This window comes from Homo sapiens, chromosome 2, assembly GCF_000001405.40.
Source record: "Homo sapiens chromosome 2, GRCh38.p14 Primary Assembly".
NCBI lineage: Eukaryota > Metazoa > Chordata > Mammalia > Primates > Hominidae > Homo > Homo sapiens.
In genome coordinates, this window is record NC_000002.12 from 242,040,206 (window position 1) to 242,065,951 (window position 25,746).

General features: G+C 47.9%; 2 long non-coding RNA genes across 2 annotated transcripts in view, besides 3 other annotated features; one reads left to right on the forward strand and one right to left on the reverse strand.

The window, feature by feature from the left end:
• Positions 1 to 25,746, forward strand: part of LINC01237 (long intergenic non-protein coding RNA 1237) — a 197,360-nt gene that overhangs the window by 158,843 nt on the left and 12,771 nt on the right. The gene's annotated exons all lie outside the window — the stretch shown is intronic.
• Positions 7,479 to 25,746, reverse strand: part of LINC01880 (long intergenic non-protein coding RNA 1880) — a 36,455-nt gene continuing 18,187 nt past the window's right edge. The window contains exons 2-4 of the long non-coding RNA NR_146651.1: positions 20,092 to 20,314; positions 7,853 to 8,078; positions 7,479 to 7,558 (exon numbers count right to left, since the gene is read on the reverse strand). This is a non-coding gene — a long non-coding RNA (long intergenic non-protein coding RNA 1880). The remainder of the gene's footprint in view (positions 7,559 to 7,852; positions 8,079 to 20,091; positions 20,315 to 25,746) is intronic.
• Positions 21,813 to 22,107: a silencer, noted in NCBI's record as "tiled region #9157; HepG2 Repressive non-DNase unmatched - State 23:Low, and K562 Repressive non-DNase unmatched - State 21:Repr". NCBI's record gives its function as "represses a minimal TATA promoter and a strong SV40 promoter by Sharpr-MPRA in HepG2 and K562 cells {active_cell/tissue: HepG2 | K562}" and the evidence as "EXISTENCE:reporter gene assay evidence [ECO:0000049][PMID:27701403]".
• Positions 23,162 to 23,838: an enhancer, noted in NCBI's record as "OCT4-NANOG-H3K27ac-H3K4me1 hESC enhancer chr2:243005518-243006194 (GRCh37/hg19 assembly coordinates)". NCBI's record gives its function as "activates a minimal SCP1, AML or CMV promoter by ChIP-STARR-seq in naive H9 embryonic stem cells {active_cell/tissue: H9 hESC(naive)}" and the evidence as "EXISTENCE:reporter gene assay evidence [ECO:0000049][PMID:30033119]".
• Positions 23,839 to 24,516: an enhancer, noted in NCBI's record as "H3K27ac-H3K4me1 hESC enhancer chr2:243006195-243006872 (GRCh37/hg19 assembly coordinates)". NCBI's record gives its function as "activates a minimal SCP1, AML or CMV promoter by ChIP-STARR-seq in naive H9 embryonic stem cells {active_cell/tissue: H9 hESC(naive)}" and the evidence as "EXISTENCE:reporter gene assay evidence [ECO:0000049][PMID:30033119]".

Genomic DNA, 25,746 nt, shown 5'->3' on the forward strand with positions numbered 1-25,746 from the left:
CGGCAGCCAGTGGTTTGCACCCCAGATAGTGGCCCTGGCTGAAGGGTCATCTGTGTCCATGCACCCCACGTACAGTTACAGACACACACGTGACCTAATGTGAGGAGGAGAGAGGTGCAGAGCCCACAGGAGGGAGAGCTCAGCGGGAATTGATGGAGAGGAGGACTCAGCTCCCTGTGGCCCAGACCTGGCTGACCATGTGATGGCCGCTCTCCGCCCATGCTGGGGGACACAGGCAGGTGGTGTCCGCCCCACGCCTGTCCAGCGGAGTCTTACTACCAAGCATGCCCCAGGTTTACCTGCCCAATCTCAGGTGCTGCAGCAGTGACCTGTCCACCCACTGTGAGCTGCTGGAGCCCTGGTACGGGTCCTTCAGCCTCTGCACTGAAGCTTCCTTATGTCGTGTCAGCAGCAGGCTGGGCGCACTGCCGTCAGGATGAAGAGCATTGCCCTGGGTACACCTGGGCAGAGCAGAGGTGTTGGCTCCTGCCGATCACACGCCTGTGGAGGACCCAGCTGCCCTGCAGACGCGCCTGTGCATGCGTGGAGCATCATGAGGGTCACTGGGCAGTGCACACTCCTAGGCACAGCCACTGAGAGTCCGCTGCTCGGTGAGGACAGCATGGATGAGGGGCTCAAACAGGGGCCTCCCAGCCAAGCCAGGCATGTGGAGGAAAGTGAGGGCTTCAGCCAGCTGTCAGGCCCCTGGCTGGTGACACAGGAACCCTGGACCCTGCCGGTGGGCCCAGAGCAGCGATCCTGGAGCACCATGGTCAGGACACCTCTGCGCCAACAGCTTGGCTGCCGGCCACACCCCGGCCGAGGCGGCCTTCCCTCCCCCAGGCTTCGCTCACTCCAGACAGATTTCTTCCTGACTCGGGTGTCAACCTCCCCTGTCCAGAGCACTGACTTTGGAAAACGTAAAATTGTAAACTCTCTCTGCCTCTTCCAGGTGTAAATCTTCTTCCAGCCACTGGCCAGTTCCACAGCCCAGGAAATGTCCTTCTTCAGGCCTGGGAGCTGCCTTGGAAAATGAGGCATCGAGAAAGAAATGGCCCAGCCCCCCAAGCCCTGTGGAGGGTTAGGGGGCCTCTGAGGAGGGTTAGGGGGCTGGCCCCCTGCTGAGGCCTCCAGGGCTCTCCCACCTGCTCGGTGGCCCCTCAGGCTCCTCAGCCCTCCTGCCATGTGCTGCAGAGGAGCTGGGGGCTCTCCCTTACCGCATGGTCTTGAATAAAGCCTTTCTTGCTTGTTTAAAACCGTCTGATACAATTTTTGTCACTCCAATTACCTGTTCTCATAAGAGACTGTGCATTGGGGTGGTCATCCACACCCTGTGGGTGGAGGCGGGGTCCTGAGGCCCACCTGCATCCGTCCCCAGGGTGCACACAGAGAGTTTTGGGGTCACCAAAGAAGCATCCACTCGACACTAAGAAATAAAGGATGAAAAAAGCAACACCTACAAAATTTAAAAATAAAGGTAAACGAAATGGCACCTAAGAGTGTGATTAACATAAACGAGAATAACAGATGTGCACACATGCACGTGTCCGCCCTCCCAGGTAGAGACACCCCTAAATCACATCAGAACCTTCTACAGGGCCAGAGCGGTGACAGCAAGGGACACAGAGAATGGGGATGAAGGGAAAGGACAAAGAAACCCACCTGGAACAATGGGTTACCTTGGTGGAGACAGCATCCTGTCTGGTGGGGCAACCGGGGCAGTGACCCCTCCAGGTACCTAGGCAGAGAGTCACACAAGGGGCTGAGAACCCACAATATGAGAGGGTGGGTTCTCGGCTGAGCTCCAGGAGTGATTTGGGGATTAAGAGAATGGCCACATCAGGAACCCCACCCCTGAGGTCCCCTGGCCCCCACCATGCTGCATTCCTGGGTCATTCCAGGCCCTAGCTGCTGTTGCCACCCCTGCTGCTGCAGAAACCCGGGTCCCATTTAAACCCTGATATGGTTTGTCAGTTTCACCACCCAAGTCTTATCTTGAACTGTAGCTCCCACAATTCCCATGTGTTGTGGGAGGGACCTGGTGGGAGGTGATTGAATCATGTGGGCAGGTCTTTCCTGTACTGTTCTCATGATGGTCTCATGAGATCTCATGGCTTTCTAAGGAGGAGTTTCCCTGCACAAGCTCTCTTCTCTTGCCTGCCACCATGTGAGACGTGTCTTTCACCTTCTGCCAGGATTGTGAAGCCTCCCCAGTCAAGTGGAACTGTAAGTCCAATAAGCCTCTTTCTTTTGTAAATTGCCCAGTCTCGCGTGTGTCTTTCTCAGCGTCATGAAAATGGACTAATACAAACTCCCTCTGGTGAGGGCCAGTTGTGGCTGCTCAGCCGCTGTGGAAACCTGGGTTCACTGCCGCAGACTCAGTGGTGTTTCCAATTCCAGTTCTGGCCTGAGAGGTGATTGATGGGCTTTTGATCATAGAGTTAGAAATACACACATTTATATTAAGAAAGTAGCCAAGAAGCCACCACTGTGTGCCCCATAAAAAGTAAATGCTAATTTTTTTGTGAGAGAGCCGAGATCTCTGATGTGGCGTTTGGAACATGGAACCACTTGACAGGAAGGCAAGGCCCCAAAATGCAGCCCTGATGGAAGCTCAAACATCCTGGCAGGCAACAGAGCAGCAGAAATAGAAAAGGAGAAAAATAACAGAAAACCAAACGAGGAGCCACGGAGAAAGAAACCCAGGACGGAGCAGGTGCGGCTGTTACCTGAGGACGGAGCAGGTGCGGCTGTTACCTGAGGACTGAGCAGGTGCGGCTGTTACCTGAGGACGGAGCAGGTGCGGCTGTTACCTGAGGACGGAGCAGGTGCGGCTGTTACCTGAGGACGGAGCAGGTGCGGCTGTTACCTGAGGATGGAGCAGGTGCGGCTGTTACCTGAGGATGGAGCAGGTGCGGCTGTTACCTGAGGATGGAGCAGGTGTGGCTGTTACCTGAGGATGGAGCAGGTGTGGCTGTTACCTGAGGATGGAACAGGTGTGGCTGTTACCCATGAACTAAATGCAGCTCCACATCAGAGAAGAGAACACAGTGAATACAGCAGTGCTTGAATTAACAAACTTCACATTTAGAAACATACCTTCTATAGTCACAATTTCATTTGCCAAATTAGATACACTTTGCTGACACTTGTGTAGGTTTTATTGCTTTGGATGAAGGCAATCTATCATAGCATAATCGGTTTTGCCCTCCCACGGAGCTTCTCAGGACACTGTTTAATCAGACTTCCTTAAAGCTCCCCTAAAAGAGGTCTCCTCCCTCCCCGATACTGACATCTGAGAAACCCAAGCTGCTCACACAAATTCAAGATATTCATCATCTTTCCCAAATTTATGGCTCTGGCTCCTTTCACACCCTGACATGGGGCATTTTGGTCGGCAATGCCCTCCCAACCCCAGTGCCACCTCTGATCAAATTCCACCTGGTTCCTTAGCTTTCCTTTCCCATAAATATCATCGAAACACTCAGCTTGCCTCCTGATGGAGAGAGTGATTTTATGCAAATTTCCTTACTCATCATTAATTTTAAAGACCAACATTCATCAAGGAAGAAAAACTGTTTCTAAAAGGCACACACATCTTATATAAAACATTGCTTAATACAAGAAGATCTGATTTTGTGGGAACCATTGCTTTGAAGTGGTTTCTATATCCAGTAATTTGATGCTATTCTGTGGGACTTTAAGACAGAGAGCCTCTGCTAGCAGAACTGGGGCGGGCACACAGGGAACTGGAGTGGGCCCGTAGGAAACTGGAGTGGGCACACGGGGAACTGGGGTGGGCACACGGGGAACTGGGGTGGGCACGCAGGTTCAGAGCTGCCCACGTTTGTTCTCAGCTTGCACATCCCAGAATGCATTTTCACATCACGCTGTAACAATTACAGACGCCCTTCACAAGGTAAGGGCTGATAAATGTGCAATTCCGGGGAGTCTGAAATGAACATCTGGAAAGGAGAAGGCAGCCTGGCCAAATGAATGTGCTCATCAGACACACTCGCCAAGGTCTCCCTCATCTGGCAACCTTGTTCCTCCTAGAAGCAGGGGCCCCTCAGAGCCGCCAGAAGTTGGGGAGGGGCCTCCATAGACATCTGGCTGAGGCTTCACTCTGAGCCTCCTTAGCCATCAGCAAAGGGGAGTGGGGATGCAGCGAGCCTGGACCTTCCTGCAGGATGCAGCACGGGGGGGTGCGGGGTCACCTGTGGCCCCCCAAGCCCAGCTGTGGAAACCTGAGTTCATCCCTAACAGGAGCTGGGCTTCCCTTGGGATCTTCTTTCCTGACACACACTCCATGTCAAGGGGTCGCTAACACAGGACTGGCTTGGTGTCAGAAATAGCTGCAACCTTTTTGCACCCCTTCAATATGCAAAATCAGGGAGACAGTCACCGGAACTCTCCACACCCAGCGTCACCTCCACACAGACCCCACAGGGGCCCTCAGTCCAGCCTTGTGGACAAGTCCCCAGGCTGTTATGGTGTCAGAGGCAAAATTACAACAAATCTAGTTTAAAGACTGAATTGGCTTCTATTTGTGATTCTAGACTTGGGAACACCTGGCCTTGGAAGCAGGATGGGTGCAGTCAACTGAGCGATGGTGTCCCATGAACTGAGCGATGGTGTCCTGTTAACTGAGCAATGGTGTTTCGTGAACTGAGTGGGGGTGTCCTGCAAACTGAGCAGGGTTGTCCTGTGAACTGGGTGGGGTGTCCTGTGAACTGAGTGGGGGTGTCCCATGAACTGAGCGATGGTGTCCCGTGAACTGAGTGGGGGTGTCCCGTGAACTGAGTGGGGGTGTCCTGTGAACTGGGTGGGGTGTCCCGTGAACTGAGTGGGGGTGTCCTGCAAACTGAGCAGGATTGTCCTGTGAACTGGGTGGGGTGTCCTGTGAACTGAGTGGGGGTGTCCCGTGAACTGAGTGATGGTGTCCCGTGAACTGAGTGGGGGTGTCCCGTGAACTGAGTGGGGGTGTCCTGTGAACTGAGTGGGGGTGTCCCGTGAACTGAGCGATGGTGTCCCGTGAACTGAGTGGGGGTGTCCCATGAACTGAGTGGGGTTGTCCCGTGAACTGAGCGATGGTGTCCCGTGAACTGGGTGGGGTGTCCCGTGAACAGAGTGGGGGTGTCCCGTGAACTGAGCGATGGTGTCCCGTGAACTGAGCGATGGTGTCCCGTGAACTGAGTGGGGGTGTCCCATGAACTCAGTGGGGGTGTCCCGTGAACTGAGCAATGGTGTTTCGTGAACTGAGTGGGGGTGTCCCATGAACTGAGCGGGGGTGTCCTGCGAACTGAGCGGGGGTGTCCCATGAACTGAGCGGGGGTGTCCCGTGAACTGAGTGGGGGTGTCCCATGAACTGAGCGGGGGTGTCCCGTGAACTGAGCGATGGTGTCCCGTGAACTGAGCGGGGGTGTCCCATGAACTGAGCGATGGTGTCCCGTGAACTGAGTGGGGGTGTCCCATGAACTGAGCGGGGGTGTCCTGCGAACTTAGCGGGGGTGTCCCGTGAACTCAGTGGGGGTGTCCCGTGAACTGAGCAATGGTGTTTCGTGAACTGAGTGGGGGTGTCCCATGAACTGAGCGGGGGTGTCCTGCGAACTGAGCGGGGGTGTCCCATGAACTGAGAGGGGGTGTCCCGTGAACTGAGCAATGGTGTTTCGTGAACTGAGTGGGGGTGTCCCATGAACTGAGCGGGGTTGTCCCGTGAACTGAGCGGGGGTGTCCCGCGAGCTGAGCGATAGTGTCCCGTGAACTGAGGCTCTGCAGATAGAAGAGCCTCTGGAGAGCAGGAATGAAACACAGAAGGCAGGTGGGTCGTTTCCAGGCTACTTTCCTTCAAGGGTTAAAAAATAGAGGGCTTCTGTGTTAGGTGGACTCAGGTTGATTTCAATGGCCTGAGATTTTTTGAAAACTGTCCATTTCCAACGTCAGTTTGGTGATGTGGGCCTTAGCACAGGGGACTCCATTCTGGCTTGGTCGGTTCTGCTGGGCCTAGACCAGGACACTATCCAAAGGCTGGTCCAAAGTTGTTAACCAATTTTGTTTAATAACCGCATTATTGCATACTATGGAGATTAATTTGGTATTAATTTGCAGTAGTTTGCTTTAAGATACGATTTTAATTACATTCTCCAGAACAACCACTGAGCAAGTAAATTAAAAAGGAGTAAAAGAAACATCAAAATAATTAAAATTGTATAAATGAAATATCTGTTTAACATAAAAGTAGGCAGTAAAAGAAGAGTAAAGAAACAAAACAGATACAAGCCATAGAGAAAACAACTGGTAAAACAGTGGACGCAAATCCCACCTTTTCAGTGATCACATTCAGTGGAATCGCGGCCAGAAAGCAAAGGGCGGCAGAACAGGAAGCAGCGCAGCCCAGAGATGGGCTTCCCGCAGCGGAGAGAGATGCCGGGGCGGCGATGCGCTTCCCACAGCGGAGAGAGACGCCGGGGCGGCGATGGGCTCCCCGCAGCGGAGAGAGACGCCAGAGCCGCGATGGGCTCCCCGCAGCGGAGAGAGACGCCGGGGCGGCGATGGGCTCCCCGCAGCGGAGAGAGACGCCAGAGCCGCGATGGGCTCCCCGCAGCGGAGACAGACGCCGGGGCGGCGATGGGCTCCCCGCAGCGGAGACAGACGCCGGGGCGGCGATGGGCTCCCCGCAGCGGAGACAGACGCCGGGGCGGCGATGGGCTCCCCGCAGCGGAGACAGACGCCGGGGCGGCGATGGGCTCCCCGCAGCGGAGACAGACGCCGGGGCGGCGATGGGCTCCCCGCAGCGGAGACAGACGCCGGGGCGGCGATGGGCTCCCCGCAGCGGAGACAGACGCCGGGGCGGCGATGGGCTCCCCGCAGCGGAGACAGACGCCGGGGCGGCGATGGGCTCCCCGCAGCGGAGACAGACGCCGGGGCGGCGATGGGCTCCCCGCAGCGGAGAGAGACGCCGGGGCGGCGATGGGCTCCCCGCAGCGGAGAGAGACGCCGGGGCCGCGATGGGCTCCCCGCAGCGGAGAGAGACGCCGGGGCGGCGATGGGCTCCCCGCAGCGGAGAGAGACGCCGGGGCGGCGATGGGCTCCCCGCAGCGGAGAGAGACGCCGGGGCGGCGATGGGCTCCCCGCAGCGGAGAGAGACGCCGGGGCGGCGATGGGCTCCCCGCAGCGGAGAGAGACGCCGGGGCCGCGATGGGCTCCCCGCAGCGGAGAGAGACGCCGGGGCCGCGATGGGCTCCCCGCAGCGGAGAGAGACGCCGGGGCCGCGATGGGCTCCCCGCAGCGGAGAGAGACGCCGGGGCGGCGATGGGCTCCCCGCAGCGGAGAGAGACGCCGGGGCGGCGATGGGCTCCCCGCAGCGGAGAGAGACGCCGGGGCCGCGATGCGCTCCCCGCAGCGGAGAGAGACGCCGGGGCCGCGATGGGCTCCCCGCAGCGGAGAGAGACGCCGGGGCGGCGATGCGCTTCCCACAGCAGAGACGCGTCAGAGTCCAACGGGGAAAGGTGGAAAAAGACGAACCGTGTAAACAATAATCAAAAGGGACATCGGGTGGCTGAATGCAGACAAAATAGACTTTAAGCCAAAAGTCGTTGTTTGAGACACCAAAAGGACATTTTATAAAAACAAAAAGGTCAATCTCTCCCAAGACGTAACAAATATGGACACATATCACCCAACACCAGAGCCCAAAATATGCAAAGTAAAAACGGACAGAATTAAAGGGAGAAATATATGGACACACATCGCCTAACACCAGAGCCCCAAAATACACAACGTAAAAAACGACAGAACTAAAGGGAGAAATAGACAATCTGACAGTGAACGTTGGTGACTTCACTGGTCCTACCTTGAATGAGTGATGGAGCCACTAGGTAGAAGATCAACAGACAGGAATGAACCCCGTGAACCAACCAGTGGATCCAGCATATGAGCCTCTGCCAAACGGTCCACGCAGAGCCGCAGCCACGTTCCTCTCGAGAGGAGAGCGAGACATTCTCCAGGGTGGACCACACACCAGAGCCTGAAGAAGCCTCAGGAAATGGAGAAGGACTGAGATGCGAAAGTTATGCTCCCTGAACAAAACGGAATGATAGGAGGAATCAATACCAGGAAGGAACTTGGGAAATTCAAAAACAGGTGAAACAATGCAAATAACCAAAGAATTCAAGAACACAATTTAATAAAATTATAAAATAACTGAATACTAATTAAAAGGCAAACACAAGATACTAAAATTTATGGGAAATAGTACTTAGGAGAAAATTTAAAGGTAAAAATGCCTGTATTTAAAAAGAAATATTTCAAGTCAATAACGTAATCTTCAATCTTAAGAAATGAGAAGAATAAACACAACTCATGTGCAGCAGACACAAGGAAGGAAATAAAGATACGATGGGGGGTAAATTAAATAGAGAATTAAACAACAGTAGCAACAATTCTTGAAACCAAAAGTTAGTTTTTGAAAACCTCAGCAAATTTAACAAACCTTTAGATAGGCTGACCAAGGAATAATAAAGATTAAAATTACTAAAATCAGCAATGAAATAAAGGGCATTACTACTGACCTTAGGAAATGAGAAGGATTATAAGCAAATATAATAAATAATTGTATGCTAAAAATTAGATAAACTAAAAGAAGTTGACAAATTTCTGGAAAATCTCCAAAAGAAATAGAAAATCTAAATAGAGCAATAACAGTAAAGAGATTGGATTAGTAATCAATAAACTTTCCACAAAGAAAAGGCCAGCCCCAGATAGCTTCATGCATGAATTCTACTAAATATTTAAAGAAGAATTAATACCAGTCACTCAAAACATGTCAAAAGGCCAAAACCAAAACAGAAGAAGAGAGAATAGTCTCAACTCATTCATTCCATAGTCCCAGGATTACCCTGGTACCAAAACTGCACAGAGAACTCACAAGATAATAATCGATATCCCTTATGAATAGAGATACAAATATTGGCAAAAATATTAGCAAATTGAATCCAGCAATATATAAGAAGGAATTATACACCATGAATGACTGGGATTAACTTCAGGAATGCACAGTTGATTTAACATAAGGAAACAAAGCAATACACTGTATTAAAAGAATTTTAAAAACCATAATAATCTCAAAAGATGCAAAAAATTCATTTGACAAAATCCAACATCTTTTTAAGGATAAAAGATGAATGAGCTAAACATAGAAGGAAACTTCCTCAATCTGATAAAATCCTTCTAAGAAAAGCCCACAGCACACTTAAATTTGAAAGACCAAATGCTTTCCTCTTAAGATCAGGAACAGTACAAGGACGTTCACACTCTCAACTTCTATTGAACATTGTCATCGATGTTCCTGTGAGGCAATCAGGCAAGGCAATGAAATGCAAGTCATCTGGGTTGGAAGAAAGAAGTCAAACTCCTGCGATAGTTTGCTGAGAATGATGGTTTCCAGCTTCATCCATGTCCTTGCAAAGGACATGAACTCATCATTTTTTATGGCTGCATAGTATTCCATGGTGTATATGTGCCGCATTTTCTTAATCCAGTCTATCATTGTTGGATGTTTGGGTTGGTTCCAAGTCTTTGCTATTGTGAATAGTGCCACAATAAACATACGTGTGCATGTGTCTTTATAGCATTAGGAGATATACCTAATGCTAAACGACGAGTTAATGGGTGCAGCACACCAACATGGCACATGTATACATATGTAACAAACCTGCACATTGTGCACATGTACCCTCAAACTTAAAGTATAATTAAAAAAAAAAAGAAGTCAAACTCTATTATGGATGACATGAACTTGTATATGGAAATCTCTAGAAACACACACACAATTTTAATGAATAAATGACTTCAGAAATGTTGCTGGGTACATGAACAATATACAAAAATCAACTGTAGACCTATATGATGGCAATAAAAATTTCAAAAATCAAATTAAAACAATTTCATTTACAATAGCATCGATGAATCAAATAGGAAGAAATATAACAAAAAAGTTATGACTTGTTACTGTAAACTACAAAACACTGTTTAAAAAATTAGATACATAGAATGATATTTTATGCTTATGGATTGGAAAACTTAACACTGTTAAGGTCAAATTGATCTGCAGATTCAACAAAATCCCTTTCAAAAATTTCAACTCAGCTGCTTTACTTCTAGAAATTGACTAGTTAATCCTAAAATTCATATGGAAATATAAGGAGCTACAAACACCAAAAACAATCTTAAAGAAAATTTTAAACAAAGTTGTTGGATTCGTGCTTCATGATTTCAAAGTGGCACAGCCAAGCTACAGTAGTAAAAACAGTATGACAGAGGCATAAAGATAGATACATACATCAATGAAATTGAACTGAAAGTCTAGAAATAAGCCCTTATATTTATGGCCAATTGATTTTTGACAAGTGTGCCAATGGAATTCAAGGAGGAAAGAATGGTCTTTACAACAAATGGTACTAGGACAACTGGATATCCACCTGCAAAAGAATGTAATTTGATTTCTACTTCACACCATATACAATTTTAATTCAAAATGAATCATAGGTCTAAAAGTAAGGTTAAAACTATAAAACTTTTAGCAGAAAACATAGGAGTACATTCTGTGTGACCTTGGATTTGGCGATGATTTATTAGAACTGACACCAAAAGCACAAGCAACAAAAGACACATCAGATAATTTGGACTTTATCACAATTTTGTAAATATTCAAAATAAATTTAAAGATTATCTTGCAGTTTCAAAAGACACCCTCAAGTATGTGTAAAGACAACACACAGAATGGGAGAAAATATTTGCAAATCACAAATCTGATAAAGCACTGTTATACAAATATATAAAGAATGCTAATAACCAGTGATAAAAAGAAATACAAGCAAATTAAATGAACAAAAACTAGATAGTTCTCCTAAAAAGATATACAGATGACCCATAAGCCTTTGAAAATGCTCAAAATTATTAATTAGGAAAATGCAAATTAAACCACAATAAAACATCACTTCACAACAACTACATTGACACGAGAGAGAGAGAGAGAGAGAGAGAGAGGGGTGAAAATATCAGAAGCTTCAATCATTGTTAATGGAATTGGAAAATGCAGCCACTTTGGAAAACAGTTTGGCAGATCCTCAAAACTGCAACAGAGTTACCATATAATTCAGCTATTTCATTCCTGAATGTATACTTAGGAGAACTGTGGTAATATTCACACACAAAAGCTAGTACACAAATGTTCATAGCAACATTTGGTATTGATCATAATACCAAAAAAAGGAAACACATCAAATGTTCAACAACTGATAAATGGAGAACCAAAATGTGGTATATTCATACAACAGATTATTATCAGCAATAAAAAGAAATGAAAAAATGTTGTAAAATAGTTGCATCATCAAAACATCACTTTAAATGAAATAAACCAAAGATTCTATTTACATGAAATGTTAAGATTCCATTTGCATGAAATGTCTATAATCAGCAAATCCACAGAGGCAGAAAGTAGATTTGTGGTCGCCAGGGCTTGGGGGAGAGGGAGGAAGGGGAATGACTGCTGTTGAGTCCAAGGTTCATTTTAGGATGATTTAAATGTTGTAAAATTATATAGCAGTGATGGTTGGACATCTCTATGAATACACTAAAAATGTTGAAGTGTATACTTGAAAGTGATGACGATCGTGGTCTGTGAATTACATCTTAACAAGCCTATAATTTAACAGAAATTTGCAGGTAGTCACTATTATTGGAATCATAACATAGAGAAGAACAATGAATAAGCTTCAAGAAACTGTGTTATGAATATGAATCTGGAACAAAGAATGAACGACGAGAACACATGGACACAGGAAGGGGAACATCACACACCGGGGCCTGTTGTGGGGTTGGGGGAGCGGGGAGGGATAGCATTAGGAGATATACCTAATGCTAAATGACGAGTTAATGGGTGCAGCATGCCAGCATGGCACATGTATACATATGTAACAAACCTGCACGTCGTGCACATGTACCCTAAAACTTAAAGTATAATCATAATAAAATTAAAAAAAAAAAAGACTGAAATACAGAGCCTGCAGCCTGAGTTCTAAGCTCCATTATATTTTGGCAGCCAATGACATACTGAACATCCAGTGGTGATTCTCCACCGTGTCTCTTCTGGACTCAAGGGTAGCCAATGATAGATACCGAACATCGGGTGGCAATTCTCTGCCGTGTCTCTTTTGGACGCAAGGGTGTGATGGGGATTTGCTGGGAACTTGTGCTTCCTCCATGGGTTAATGAGGGGCTAGTCATTTACAGACTGGTCGGGGGCAGTGCCTGACACTCAGGGGCCTGGGGCAGTAGGGAGGGTCAGATTTTGACATTTTAGGGAGTTTGGTATTGACTTGAGGTGAGAGAGGTCGCCGAGGACTGCGATGGTCGCTCTTGTATTTGAACAAAATGACTGCTGCCAAGGTGTAGGACTGATGGAGGGAGACCCTCAGTGTGGACAGCACTGCCCCAGACGCCTTGCAGCGTCACAGATGGGCACTGCTGCAGTCGCAAGGGGGTACCCACCACTGGCAGGAGCAGGAAAGGGCAAAGCAGGCAGCATCCAGGGCTCTCGTGACCAGGAGACAAGGAGAATGGAAAGGTGGTCACTGGGATTCTCGCCTGGGTGGCTCCAAAACTGGGGGCGTGGTTAACTAAGATCTGGAATTGGAGGGAAGAACCACATTTAAACATAAATGATCTTTTTAAATATAAGGATGATGATGATGACAGTGTGTGTCTGTTTTGATGCATGTCACATTAAAATCTGGGGGTCTGTGAGCCATGAAGTTGACAATTTCCAATAAGCATAAAGTGTGTTTCCTTAGCTGAGAAAATTATTTACAATAAAGGGAATGCTAATGTATGTTTCATTGCTATGTGCAAGGAAGCTGAAGTTACTGATACATAATTTCTCCCAAGGAGAATTGTGGCTTCAGTGGAGCCGAGAGATGTATCCTTGGGAAACCAGCATATTTAGATACAGCTTAAGAAACAGGTGCCCCTGAAAACACAACCTGAGCCCACTTGGAGACATGAGCAGCCTTTGACTATTTGGAGGCCCAAATAGACCTCCAGCAGCAGGGATGGGATGGGGCCCTCTGTGGAGCTTCGAGGGAGAGATATGGGCCACAGAGTGTAGATGGCTCTGTGAAGACAGGAGGTGTTTGGAGAAAATAAAGGACAAAGTGGACAGAGGGATGGAGACACAGAGAGACAGATATACAGACACACAGACAAGATAGAAGGACAGGGGACAGAGGGGCTGGTTCTTCCCCCAACTCTTTGTTCCCTCTTCTTCTTTTGCAATGAGCTAAGCCATCCTCTTAAACTATAAAATAGTTGTCACGCATCCTGCAAAACTTTTGTTCCTTAAATTATGTTAGGGTGTAATTTTCTCACATCTCAGTCTTTCCAAAGAATATTTACTCTCCTTAGAAATTAATTACAAGTCCTTTTTATAGAGACTACTCCCTAGTTGAAAAAGTATTGCTGAAAAATTATATGCTGTCATTGACTTATGACTGATCAATTGATGTCATTTGACAATTATAATTCATACCGTATTGCCACTTACAGCTAAGTGTAGTTATTTACTTAGCACTAAATTGTTTTGAAGGTTACTTAGAGCAGTACCAATTTATTGTATGGGATGGTATAATGGCATTCGATGGCATAAAATACTACATGCCTTTATCATCCTTGTTATATTTTATTACAACACTTAATTTTCCATTGAAATATGTATGACAGCAATTTTGCTGCATAAAAGAGAATTTTGTATTTTAAAAGTATGACTTTCCCTTGAGAGATAACGTAATGCCTTTGAACGCGGCAGGAGCCCTGCACGATGGCTGTACATGTGGAGGCAGCGGGTGAAGCCTCAATCCTGTCACCTGCTCCGTAAACAGGCACTCGATGGGCTGGAGCACACACGAAGCTTCTCTGCAAACTCTGGCTTCCCACTCGGATATTCAGCAGCACACGGCCATTGTTAATGAGATGCTAAATGTTCTACCCTCAGAGCTGTGCCCCTCGATGACAGAGAAGGAATAGAAAGTAAGGTTTGATTGAATGGCATTTAGTTATCCGTGTTCGCCATGTTTAAACACCTCAGGCAGGGGTGGAGGGGGCTCCCTCTTCCTTTTTACACTTTGACTTTTTGGCTTGGACACTTGTGGCTCTGTGACAGTCCTGAGTGGCTTCATTTCTGGTGACTGCCTGTGGACGTGCTCCTGCCAGGCTCACCTCAGAGGAAGCAGAGGTCGCTGAGGTGTGCAGTCACTAGAGCTGTGGATGACTTCAGCCCCCAGGGCCCAGAGTACATGTTTGCCAAAATGTGGAGGCAACATGCATGGCCCTGAACACCAACTGAGAGTAAGACGGAGACCAAGAGCAACCAGCAGGAGTTTGACCTCTGGATCGAGCCATGCCTGAAGCCTCCCCTTTTTGAACTGTCCAGTTAATGAGAGTTCATTTTGTCCCTTTTTTGCATAAGTGCGTTTTAGCTGATTTCCCTCACTCGTAACCAAAGCTTTTTGATGCAGAGATGGTACTGGATGTGGGTCTGTTCATATCACAAGCTTCAAAGGGGCAATGAGCAGAGTTAAGTGTCTCCTGGCTGGAGAGGGTTGAAGCTTTGTCATGAGGTAGGAAGACTCCTGCCAGACCTCAACCTGGCAGGTGATAGCCCGTGGGGATCCCGACAGCTATGCATTCCCAGAGAAAGGGCAGCTCAGGGGAGTTTGTGGTTTGGAGAGAAATGGTGCGTCCAGCTGATGTCAGAGGAGACAAGGACGAGCTCCAGCCCCAGTTAGGTTCCCGGAGTGCACAGCCCACACTCCTGGGTGTGAGCAGGACGGGAGCCTGGAGCCAGGGCCAGCATTCACCCACAGTTAGGTTCCGGGAGTGCGTGGCCCACACTCCTGGGTGTGAGCAGGACGGGAGCCTGGAGCCAGGGGTCCTTCCAGTCCATGACAAGGAGGCTGGGCTTGCTCTGAACAGAGCCGGAGGCCAGACTGGCTTGAATGGGGGAAGAGGAGCAGCGGCCGGAGAAGTGTGGGGGTTGGGCGGGGTCGGAGGGCTTCCGAAGGGCTGACCGCATCTCTTAGATAACAAGCGGGAACAACGCGGGACCCACTAGGAGCAGGCGTTTGTCCCGGCCTTGGAAGCGGTGCTGGGACCCTTACTCAGGTCAGCAGGCCCGGAAGGCCATGGCCCCCATGGCTCCTGACTCAGAGCTGGACGAGGTTCTACGGTTCCAGGGTAGGATCGGTCCCTCCCACCATTTGTGCAGAGCCAGGGGCCTGCGAGACCCAGAAGAAAGCTGTGCCCTTGCTCCTGGCGGCTTGTCCCAAGTGGGCGGCTCTGGGCCTGGTCGCCCAAGGGCTTTGCGGCTGACATCCTTCTCTCCATGGCGCCCTGGGACCTGCCCTGCTCAGCGCCATTCCCTAGGTAACGGGGGGACCTGGGGTGTACTGCCAGGAGCAGGCGGAGGAGCAAGCCCCCTCTTCCCAGGCTCCACGCTTTAGGCCCTGACTGGGAGTGGTGCTCCCCGGCGTGGCCGTTGTCTCCTCAGCCTGGGGAGCAGGCCCTCTCTCCGGATGGCCGAAGCGTGTCCCTCAGAACTAAGCTCTGGCCAGGCAGACCTCTGTCCCCATGTCTGTTTATGAACCTGCACTGGGACCAGAAGTTAAGAATCCAAGCATTCAAAATAAAAGCCGTAAAAAAAATTCCTAAACTTAAGAAACTGCACATTTTCTGGAACGCACAGTTAGGACGGGTTTATGAGGGGCAGTGTAAAGCGTGTTGCAAAGCCCCCAAAACCTAAAAAGGACCCAGAAAGTATTGACTGCATCCTCCTGGATATAATCTATGTGCGTTGCAAGCGCTAACACCGCCTGGCCAGCGAGAATGGCTGCTTGCACATCCTGTGGGCTTTATGATTTACTCTCATAGAAAAGACACACATATCTAAAAACACATGTCACCAGCAGAGTTAATCACCTGTTGGACACACAATGCGCCGCACACCCCAGATCTGGAGCCGCCTCCAGGTCTGCAGAGCCTGGCGGGGTCACAGGCATCCATCTCTTCAAATGACGCTTTCTCATAATTCAACAGCCTTCAGCCTATGAACAATAATTTAGTTTTTGTAAAGAATAAAAAACACATCTTTTTATAAATTTGTTGAAAGGTAAAGTTCATTTTTTTCTCATTCCCCTCTTTTCTTTCCATCTCTTCTTGATGATTATTTTTTGAGGTTACTTTAATCCAGGATGAAATACAGCAATTAGAAAATAACATGCATTAAATCTTACAGTATATTAGAGAAAATCGTCAAAATTAATAAAAGCAGAAAGAGTCCTCTTTTGTAAAGAAAAAAATGAAGAAACTAATAGTCTAGAAATATGCGTATGCATTTAGTGCATAAAAATGGAAAATGGAGGGTAATTCCGTGCAAGCTGGACACCTGTATTTGAATAAGTTTAGTAATGAAAAAGGGCCAACCTATTTTATTTTAAGATGAGGATTCAGGGGGACTGGAGGGCCGTGGGCACCTGCGTCTTCCAGAGGCAACCCTGGAATGAGTTTGTTTCCATTTCTTGCAGCAGCTGGCTTAGCTAACCACACAATCTGAAAGATGCCTGAAGGCAGTTAAACAGTCCTCACCTATTCAGCCGTAATTCACCCAATTAGGTGACAGGTCCGACCCGAAGGACCTGGAGAGGCTCTCACAGTCATCACATCTTCTTTTTGGCCAGTTGAGAGCTGGCTCCGACTCGGAGGCGTGGGGGGCCCTGCACAGACCCAGGGGAGCTGCTGGGATGGAGCCCACCTCAGGGGTCTGGGACGTTGCTTCAGACTCGCCTTTCAACGGAACATGCTGGGCTGACAGCCTTGTGGTTTCCCTGACTTTGAATCGGGTCTGTTTGGCATATTTGCTTAGAGACCTAGTCTTGAAGAGTTCGATGGTTTGGCTTCAGAAATTGTTTTAGAATATTTTCGAATAGGACAGAGTGATCAAGGGAAAAATGCTGAATAGGAAACACTACCATGTAAATGTGGAATCTTTTAAAGAGCTAAAATATTAAAGTACTGAAACAATATGAAGATGTTTGATTTACTTATTTTCACACATACAAGATGTGTGTGTATTTGTGAGTGTGTATCTGTGTGCATTCCTGTGTGTGTGCACCTGGGTGTGCACACCTGCGTACCTCTAAGCACCGTTCTAGCTGTGGGGAAATAGCAGTGAACAATAGTCTTGCCCTCCTAAAGGGAGAGAGAAATAGGAGAAACGGGTAAGGAGCCTGGTACGGGTCGAGTGATAAACGCTGTGGAGAGCGAAGCAGAGGGGCTGGGGTCCTGGAACCCCAGGCAGGGTCCACACTGAAGTTTTAAATTTAGGGGATCGGGAGGGTTATTTTGGTCAAATAGGAGGGGAACCTGCAGGAGCTACTGTGCTCTGGACGAGGAATGAGGCTGGCAGGCCTGGCCGGGGCATCCAGCTCTGTGGACCTGAAGCTTCCGTGACGGTGGCACTCATTTAGGGATGACAAGCCTTAGAGCCAAAGGTGGAGGTGAGCGCGAGACCAGGTTGAGCAAAGCCCCATCAGCCACGAGGCTTCCTAGAGGGCAGGGGGACTGGAGGACACAGGAGCATGAGGGCAGGAGCCCTGAGAACAAGGGGCCATGCTGGCAGGCGAAGATGTGGCTGATTGTCTGGGAAGGGGAGGCCAGTGCTGGGTGAGGGCGTGAACCTGCGTGCCCTTATATTTTGTGGTAGCCATATTTACAAAAACGAAACAGTAACCGGTAAAATTCCTGCTGCCGATGTATTTTACTGAACTCAGTATATCAGAACAACTATCCACTCACCCTGAAATCAATGCGACACATCTTTGGACATTTGAGACTCTATGCCACATACCAAGTCTCTAAAATCCAACTTGTATTATACATCTATAGCCCCCGCCCCATTCAATCCAGGGCAGCATTGCAGTGCCGTGGCCCCCAGCAGCCCACATCAGAGCCTGGGTGCTGACGTCCTGGCAGGGGGAACTGGAGGCGCCAAAAGGAAATGCCTTCTTCAGTAGGGGAGTGTCCCCCGCCCCACTGCTCTGGGAACAGCTGCAGGCAGGTTCCCTCTCTCCAAGCACTCTCAGACAGTGCTGTGATGAGACCCTTGTCACAGGTATTTTTGGGGACTCTGTGTCTTCTAGGAAAGGCTCCCGGGTCGTGGTCTCCCTGACAAGAGTCCTGCACTATGCAGGTTGCTCTCCTGATCCTCAAATGTGTCCTGGAGCTTCCCCTGGACCCTGGACACCCCAGCACATGGGTGAGCCGATGTCCAATGCAGGCCACGCACGAAATGCATCCACAGTGGGAGCCAGTGGTCATCCTGGTCAGGGCCAGCCTGCAGTTACCCCTGCCTGGCAAATAAGACATGGAGGTCGGGAGGGCTGGTTCCCTACTCCTGGTCATGTCACGGGACATTCTGGAACTGAGGCTCCATGTCTAGAAGCAGTGCCTGCTGGTGTCCCTGTGAGCTTGGGGGCCCATCTTCCAGGCCAGTCCTTGGTTCCTGCATAATCATTATGATACTGCCTTTCTTCTTCATAATTTTATGGAGGCTGACTTTATTTTCATTTCTCTGGTATATTTTTTAAAAACAAAAAGCAAAGTAGAAAGAATAATGTAAGACAAATGCCATTTGTTTTCTACCCGATAATATTCTGTAATAATTGTAACTCTCTTTTAACAAAATAAAAAACATGAACTGTTGCAGGCAAACCCCTCTGTCACCCTCCACTGTCTTTGCCATTTCTGATCTTTGCCAGAATTGTCTTTTAAAATTTTATTAGTGGTGAAATATGACAGTTTCCCACCTAAGATCAGAAGCAGCAGAGGGCTGCCTGTGCCCACCAGAGCCGTTCACGATGGTGCCAGGAATCCTAGTCGGCTTACTCAGACAAGCAAAAAACACATCATGTTTGGAAAGAAAAGAGTGAGATTATCATTACTCACAGAGGGCATCATCATCTGTAGAAAATTCTGCATAACATGTAAACCAAAAATAAATTCTAAGCCCCCCAACAATCTAAACAGACTCCTCCCCTTGGCCAAGGGCATTCCAGAGTTAACCTGAAAAAATAGCTCAGCCCATGATGGGAATGGGGTCGACGAGCCTCGTTATTCCCTCTCCCATTTGGAATTCAGGAAAAGCTGACTAGCATTAATATCAACACAGATCTCTTAAGTCTGAGAAGAAACATTTACAGTCTATACCTGGAGGCTTCATTTGCATGATAAAACCTTGGTCTCTACAATCCCCTATCATAACCCAGACACTCCCTTCTATTGATAATAACCAATTGCCAATCAGAAAATCTTTAAATCTTAAATGACCTGGAAGTCCCCCACTTAGAGTTGTCCCACCCTTCGAGATGAAACCAACGTACATCTTACACGTGTTTGATTGATACCTCATGTCTCCCTAAAAGGTAGAAAACCGAGCTGCCCCCGACCACCTGAGGCACATGTTCTCGGCATCTCCTGAGGCTGCGTCACAGGACATTGGCCACTCTCTTTTGGCTCATAATAAATCTCTTCAAATACTTTACAGAGTTTGACTCTTTTCATTGACACAAAAAAATGCCTAGAACTAAGAGGGAAGTTACCAAGGCTGAGGATACACAGAACAACTGTTTCTATAAACTTGCAATGAACAATTGGGAATTTACATTTAAATATCATTTATAAAGTCATCAAAATATGGAACATTTTGATAAATATTTGACAAATATTTTTAAGACTTGTAAAATGAAAACTAGAAAATATTGCTAAGATAAGTTTTAAAAGACCTAAATAAACAGAGAGGAAAACCATGTTCATGGACCAGACGACTGGATATTTGGATGGTGTCTCTCTCCTTAAATTAATCTGTTCAAAGCAATCCCAATAAAATCTCAGTAGGTTTTTTTTTTTGTAATTAACATCAATTTTCAGCTGCTTCTTAAATTCATAGAAAATAGCCAACAGGCTGAACAAAACTGGAAGGCTTACCTCATCTGATTTCAAGACTTCCTCTAAAGCAATCGCATTTGGTACTGTGGTATTGGCCTCAGATAGACACTCAGACCAAAGAGACAAAACAGAGCTCAGAAACAGGCCCATAGGTCCCATAGGTGTAGAGCTGACTTTTCAGCTGGGATGCCAGTGACTCTTGAGAGGAGCATGTGTGTGTTTTGTTTTTGCTCCTGGGATATTTCCTTTATTTCTTCTAAGCCTGGAAATGAAAAACACAATCAGGATCTAGTTAATCTATAGCAGGAAGTTTCTTAGAATATCTGGTCTAAAGGCGTAGAAAATCTGCATGGTTACTCATTCCTGAGTGTCTGCAGGGCTCTGGGCATTCAGCCAGGTGCTTTGCATGCATCTTCTATTGAATCCTCCCAACAACTCTGAGGACATTTCTGCAACCAATCTTTTACAGGAGCCCAGAGACTTGTGCAGCTCGTTCTCCATCACATCCCAAACCTGTGTCAGAGCAGAGAGTTGGTGTCAGGCCTGCGACCTCTCAGTAGCCCCAGATGGACTCATTTCAATGATTAACAAGTTCAAAGAATCCCAGACAGGAGATCAGCTACTAGAATCTCAACAATTAACACCCTCACCTGGGTGCTTCATTTAAATGTTTATAGCCTTGCAGTAAAGCTGCACAGGAAGGTGGGGCAAAATCAAGCCTGCCAAACATAATTTTAAAAAGACCCCAGGAGATGTGTTTGAGGCTGACAGATTCTTCTGTGCACCCAAATTGCCTGTGAGCCCGTGATTTCCCGATCTCCATGGCATGAAGGGAGGCCTGCTCTTCTTAGATGCTTCAACAAGAGACTGGTGAAGGAAGATTAGGCGTGGAAATGGATCCTGTGTCTCAGTGGCCTTGAATATTTGAGTTGAAAACATAATAAAACAAAAGAAGAGGGCTCCTCTCAGCATCCCCATCTTCCTTTTCTTACCTGGGATGAAGGGTGTGATGTGCATTAACAAGAAACAGGAGGACCCTCCCCAGACACACCGAGGTGGGGGGTGCAGTATGAGGGTGTCACAAGGACCCTCCCCAGACACACCCAGGTGGGTGGTGCAGTACCAGGGTGCCACGAGGACCCTCCCCAGAGGCACCCAGATGGGGGGTGCAGTACCAGGGTGCATGGCTCATTTTTTTATTTTTTATTTTTTAGTATTTATTGATCATTCTTGGGTGTTTCTTGGAGAGGGGGATGTGGCAGGGTCATAGGATAATAGTGGAGAGAAGGTCAGCAGACAAACAAGTGAACAGAGGTCTCTGGTTTTCCTAGGCAGAGGACCCTGCGGTCTTTCGCAGTGTTTGTGTCCCTGGGTACTTGAGATTAGGGAGTGGTGATGACTCTTAACGAGCATGCTGCCTTCAAGCATCTGTTTAACAAAGCACATCTTGCACCGCCCTTAATCCATTTAACTCTGAGTGGACACAGCACATGTTTCAGAGAGCACCGGGTTGGGGGTAAGGTCATAGATCAACAGCATCCCAAGGCAGAAGAATTTTTCTTAGTACAGAACAAAATGGAGTCTCCTATGTCTACTTCTTTCTACACAGACACAACAACAATCTGATCTCTCTTTCTTTTCCCCACATTTCCCCCTTTTGTTTTTGACAAAACTGCCATCGTCATCATGGCCCGTTCTCGATGGTCGCTGTCTCTTCGGAGCTGTTGGGTACACCTGCAGAAAGGCTGTCACTTCACACTTGGAAGATTGCACAGCGGCCAGGCAGAGGGGCTCCTCACTTCCCAGACGGGGCGGCCGGGCAGAGGTGCTCCTCACCTCCCAGACGGTGTGGCGGCCCGGCAGAGGCTGCAATCTCGGCACTTTGGGATGCCAAGGCAGGCGGCTGGGAGGTGGAGGTTGTAGTGACCCGAGATCACTCCACTGTGTGTGATGGAGTCTCACTCTGTCGCCCAGGCTGTAGTGCAATGGTGCGATTCTGCAACCTCTGCCTCCTGGGTTCAAGCAATTCTCCTGCCCCAGCCTCCTGAGTAGCTGAGATTACAGGCATGCACCACCACACCCAACTAATTTTTATTTTGTAATTTTAGTAGAGACAGGGTTTCACCATGCTCATCTCAAACTCCTGACCTCAGATGATCCACCCACCTTGGCCTCCCAAAGTGCTGGGATTACACAGGTGTGAGCCACTGCACCTGGCCTCATTTCTTAAATTTTTCAGTTATGATTTTTCTAACACATTCAGCCTCATATGATGTCCTAAGGCAATGTGCACCAGATAATTTATTGATTAGAAAATGTAGTAAAATGTTTTACTATATTTCAGAATAAGTAGATTCACAATGATAAAGTAAAAATATCAGGAATGGTCAATATTTATTTCACTAAACATCTTCTAGGAAATAGTATCTTGCAATTTGTAAACCTCGAATGTCTGAGACAGGTCTCAGTCCATTTAGAAAGTTTATTTTGCCAAGATTGAGGACACGTGCCTGTGACCCAGCATCAGGAGGTCCTGACGACATGTGCACAAGGTGGTCGGGGCACAGCTTGGTTTTGTACATTTTAGGGAGACAGGAGACATCGATTCATATATGTAAGATGTACATTGGATCCATCCAGAAAGGTGGGGACAACTCGAAGCAGGGAGGGGGCTTCCAGGTCACAGGAACGTAAGAGACAAATGGTTGTATTCTTTTGAGTTTCTGATGAGCCTTTGCAAAGGAAGCAATCAGATATGATTTTGTCTCAGTGAGCAGAAAGATGACATTGTCTAGGGTGGGAGGCAGGTTTGCTCTGAGCAATTCCCAACTTGACTTTTCCCTTTAGCTTAGTGATCTTCCGGCCCCCGAATTTATTTTCTGTTCACAAATTGATACTATTGTTGACCGAAAAACCCCCCAAACTCTGTAAAATATGTAAAGAAGTTTCTTCTAAGCCAATATGAGTGACCATGGCCCGGGGAACAGTCTCAAGAGGTCCTGAGAAAGTGTGCCCAGGGAGTTGGGTCACCGCTCGGTTTTATACATTTTAGGGAGACAGACGTTACAGGCAAAGACATTGATCAATACGTGGAAGGTGTAAATTGCTTCTGCCTAAAGAGGTGGGACATCTCCAACTTGGGGTGCTTACAGGTCACAGGTGGATTCAAAGATTTTCTGATTGACAATTGGGTGAAAGAGCTAAACATTTTTTAAAGACTTGAAGTCACTAGAAAGAAAGGCTTGGGTTAAGATAAGGGGGTTGTGGAGACCACGGTTCTTGTTATGCAGATGAAGCCTCCCAGGTCACTGTCTTCAGAGAGAATAGAAGGTGAATGTCTCTTTTCAGACTTTGAAAGTGTCAGACTCTCATTTAATCTCCCTTAGATCCAGGAAAGGCCTAGAAAGGAAGGCCTGGCTGCATTAATGGAGATTCTCTACAGATGCAAATTTCCCCCACAAAAGATGGCTTTGCAGGGCCGTATCAACATAGGTCAAAAAAATACAGTTTGGAGTAAAATATTTTGCTTTCCTACAGGGTCTTCAGGAACTGGATATTGTGCCAGCCAGTTTTCTGTAATTAGTCATCTCAGAACAATTTTTCTCCCTGAGCTGCGGCCCCTCCCAAGGCTCAGCTTGGAGGACACCAACAATGAGGACACCAACAATGAGCACCTCCTGGGCAGCCCTGAGGACCCACACATGGAGGCCGCACAGCCCAGCCCCTACCCTGAGGCACACCGTCTACACAAACCCCGGCCTGGACCCAGCCTCATGGCCCACAGGCAGGTCCTGAGGACACCCACAGCATTGCTGTGAGCCACTTCCTGCACAGTGCGCGGGCAGGATCAGGACATAGCTGCTGGAGCCTCCACCCTGAAAACCCCACTCTTCCCAGAGCCCAGAGGCCAGGGCAGGTCCCCAGCTGTGCACAGCGCTGTTTAACCCAGGCCCTTGCTCTTTGAGCTCAGCCTCTGGGAGAGTTTAACACAGAAAAGGCCCTGCCCTGGCCTCCTAAGATGAAAATCTAGGTGGGGACGGGGGGCACAAGTGTAGTTAAACACCTGTGAGCAAAGCACTGCTGTGGATGGATTTGCGGGGAACACATTGACACCCTACCCTTTCCACACAGAGAAACACAAACATACTCATGCACACTCACACACATGCACACTCACATGCATGCACACTCACACGCATATACACATTCACACACACGCACAATGTTCACACTCACACGCACAATGTTCACACTCACACATGCACATAATCACACATGCATTCACACTCACACGCATACACACACATGCACACACACCCATATTCACCCATACACACACTGACACACATGCTGAAACACACCCACACATGCATACACACAATGCATGCATACTTACAAGTACACACATATACACACACATTTGCATACATACAGTTGCATGCAGAGAGCTTCACACATGCACACACAGGCATTCACAAGCTGTCCCACACATGCACATACACTCTCACTGACACTCTCAGACACACATGCATACTCGCGCTCACACTCATGCACACAACACAAGCCACGCGAGCAGCAGCCAAGAAGCACATGGCGTCAGGTGCGCCCTCCCTCACCTATGACCCAGCCAGGCGGCATCCTGCATTTTAAATACAACGGCTCCCCCCAGCCCTTCAGGTCTTCTTCTCACCGATCAAGTGTGTGTTCACGCGTGTGTTCCTGACATCCCCTTTGGCATGGGGCTGTGCTTCCAGCCTGCAGAATCTGCATGTGGCTGGTGAGAGCGATCCCTGGGGACATTGCCAGGAAGCCTCCCACAGCCGGGAAGCAGCGCTGAGGTATAGGAGGGAGCTTCTCTGGGGGCCTGGAAGGGTTAACTGAGACTGTTAGGCGTGCTCTCAAATGATTACACAAATCACTGTTGTAAATCACAATATCCCTGACTTTGGAATTTTTATCTTGTTTTCAGGTAAAGATCATCTTGTTCTGCTGAAAGTCAAAAGCAGCCCCTATTGTTGTTTTTTAAATAACTCTCTAATTAAAACCAAACAATTCTGTAGACTCTTCCATAGGAAATATATTCATGAGGCTGATGCTTATAGAAAGTTTTATCTTGTGAGTTATTAAATAAAAATGCATTCAAATTTCAAGAACTGTTTATTGGGCCGCAAGCATAGTTAATTTTATCAAATATTGAAGACGTTTTAAAATGGCACATGCTGGGTTCAGGTTGCGGTTCCAATGATCCACCTATGGTACGTGTTTATCTACCATAAACACAGATTCTTGCATTTGAAACAGAACACTGAAAGTGAAACTTAGCAGAAAACCAAACGTATCAACGTCCTTTGAGAAAGAATAAGCACAGGGGTGTGGAGGAGAGCCGGGCCAGCCTCAGACTCAGCCTCCCTGGAGCCCGAGACGTCCACTTCTGTGAGGTCCCGAGGGAAGCGGATGTGGTCCTCTTCTAGCTAGCCACATTTTCCTTTAAGTAAAAAGGCAACTGACAATCTTTCTCAAGTCATCAAAAACTCAGGGAAGATCCATCCAAACAATAACGACAAAAATCAACCAAAGAAATAAGCCAAGAAAAAGGGTGGCAAAGTTAAAATTTACTTCAACAGGCTGGGCGCAGTGGCTCACACCTGTAATCCTAGCACTTTGGGAGGCCAAGACAGGCGGATCACCTGAGGG